Source organism: Homo sapiens, chromosome X, assembly GCF_000001405.40.
Source record: "Homo sapiens chromosome X, GRCh38.p14 Primary Assembly".
NCBI lineage: Eukaryota > Metazoa > Chordata > Mammalia > Primates > Hominidae > Homo > Homo sapiens.
The window spans coordinates 140437105-140438405 of record NC_000023.11 but is presented as its reverse complement, the minus strand read 5'-3'; the positions used below and the strand labels follow the sequence as shown (position 1 = coordinate 140438405).

General features: G+C 44.1%; 1 annotated feature.

The window, feature by feature from the left end:
* Window positions 324-898: an enhancer, noted in NCBI's record as "NANOG hESC enhancer chrX:139519673-139520247 (GRCh37/hg19 assembly coordinates)". NCBI's record gives its function as "activates a minimal SCP1, AML or CMV promoter by ChIP-STARR-seq in primed H9 embryonic stem cells {active_cell/tissue: H9 hESC(primed)}" and the evidence as "EXISTENCE:reporter gene assay evidence [ECO:0000049][PMID:30033119]".

Here is a 1301-nt window from a genome sequence, read left to right as displayed (position 1 = left end):
TTGGGTGAGTTCTGGTATTGTCTCCATTTTACAGTGGTGGAAACTCAGCAAGCTGAAGTAACTTGCCCAAGGTCACACAGTCAGAGAGGATTTCACAGAGCCAAGGCTTGTCTGAAGCCAATGTGTGTTCTTTTTTTTTTTTGACGGAGTCTCACCCTGTCACCCAGGCTGGAGTGCAATTGCACGATCTCTGCTCACTGCAACCTCCGCCTCCCGAATTCAAGCGATTCTCCTGCCTCAGCCTCCCGAGTAGCTGGGACTACAGGCGCGCGTCACCACACCCAGCTAATTTTTATATTTTTAGTAGAGACGGGGTTTCACCATGTTGGCCAGGATGGTCTCGATCTCTTGACCCCGTGATCTGCCTGCCTCGGCCTCCCAGAGTGCTGGGATTACAGGCGTGAGCCACTGCACTGGCCCCAGTGCCTGTTTTCTAAACCATTAGATGATATTGCCTTCTATTGTTATTAATTGTGTTTTAATGTTTACAGTTCTTCAAAGGGTGGCTTTTTGTTTTCCAAAATTTGCCTTTCAAAGTAACATAATTGACAATCACTTGCTTTGTTATTTTAAGTCCCTTTGGGATCATTTTTTCCTTGAAAAGACTAAAATAGCTTCAAACTGCAGTAACACAAAGGGAAACAAGGAGAATTGGGCTCCTAACTTAGGTAGGTCCACCTGTTAACAGGTGTTTGTTGGAGGAACGGAAAATGACTGATGCCAAACTAATAAATTTTAGAACATCCACATCAAAGGGAGCAGCACATGCCAAGACCCTGTGGTTGGAAGGGGTATAGCAAGTTTCTGGGACTGAAAATTCAATGTGGCTGGAGCATAAAGAACAAGGAGGAACATGGTATGAGATGGGGCTGGAGAGATACACATGTGGGGCCTACCCATCATGGGCCTACAAAGTCCTGCTGATGTTTTGAGTCCTTACCCTAAGATCACTAGGAAGCCATTGAAGAGTTTAGTAAATAAAAGGTGCCTGTAATCCCAGTGCTTTGGCAGGCCAAGGTGGGAGGATCATTTGAGGCCAGGAGTTTAAGAGCAGCCTGGACAAGATAGCAAGACTCTGTCTCTACAAAAGAATAAAAAATTAAAAAGTCAAAGGGTAACATGGCATTCTTAAAACATCACTCTAGCTTCAGTGTAGAAAACATATTAGGAAACATAGTAAATCTAGGGAAACAACTAGTAAACTATGTAGTTGTCCAAGCATGAGATAATGGTGGCTTGGACTAGGGTGATGATAGTGGTTTTCTACTATTAATAAATGGTTGCCCAGGAGCCACGCACAT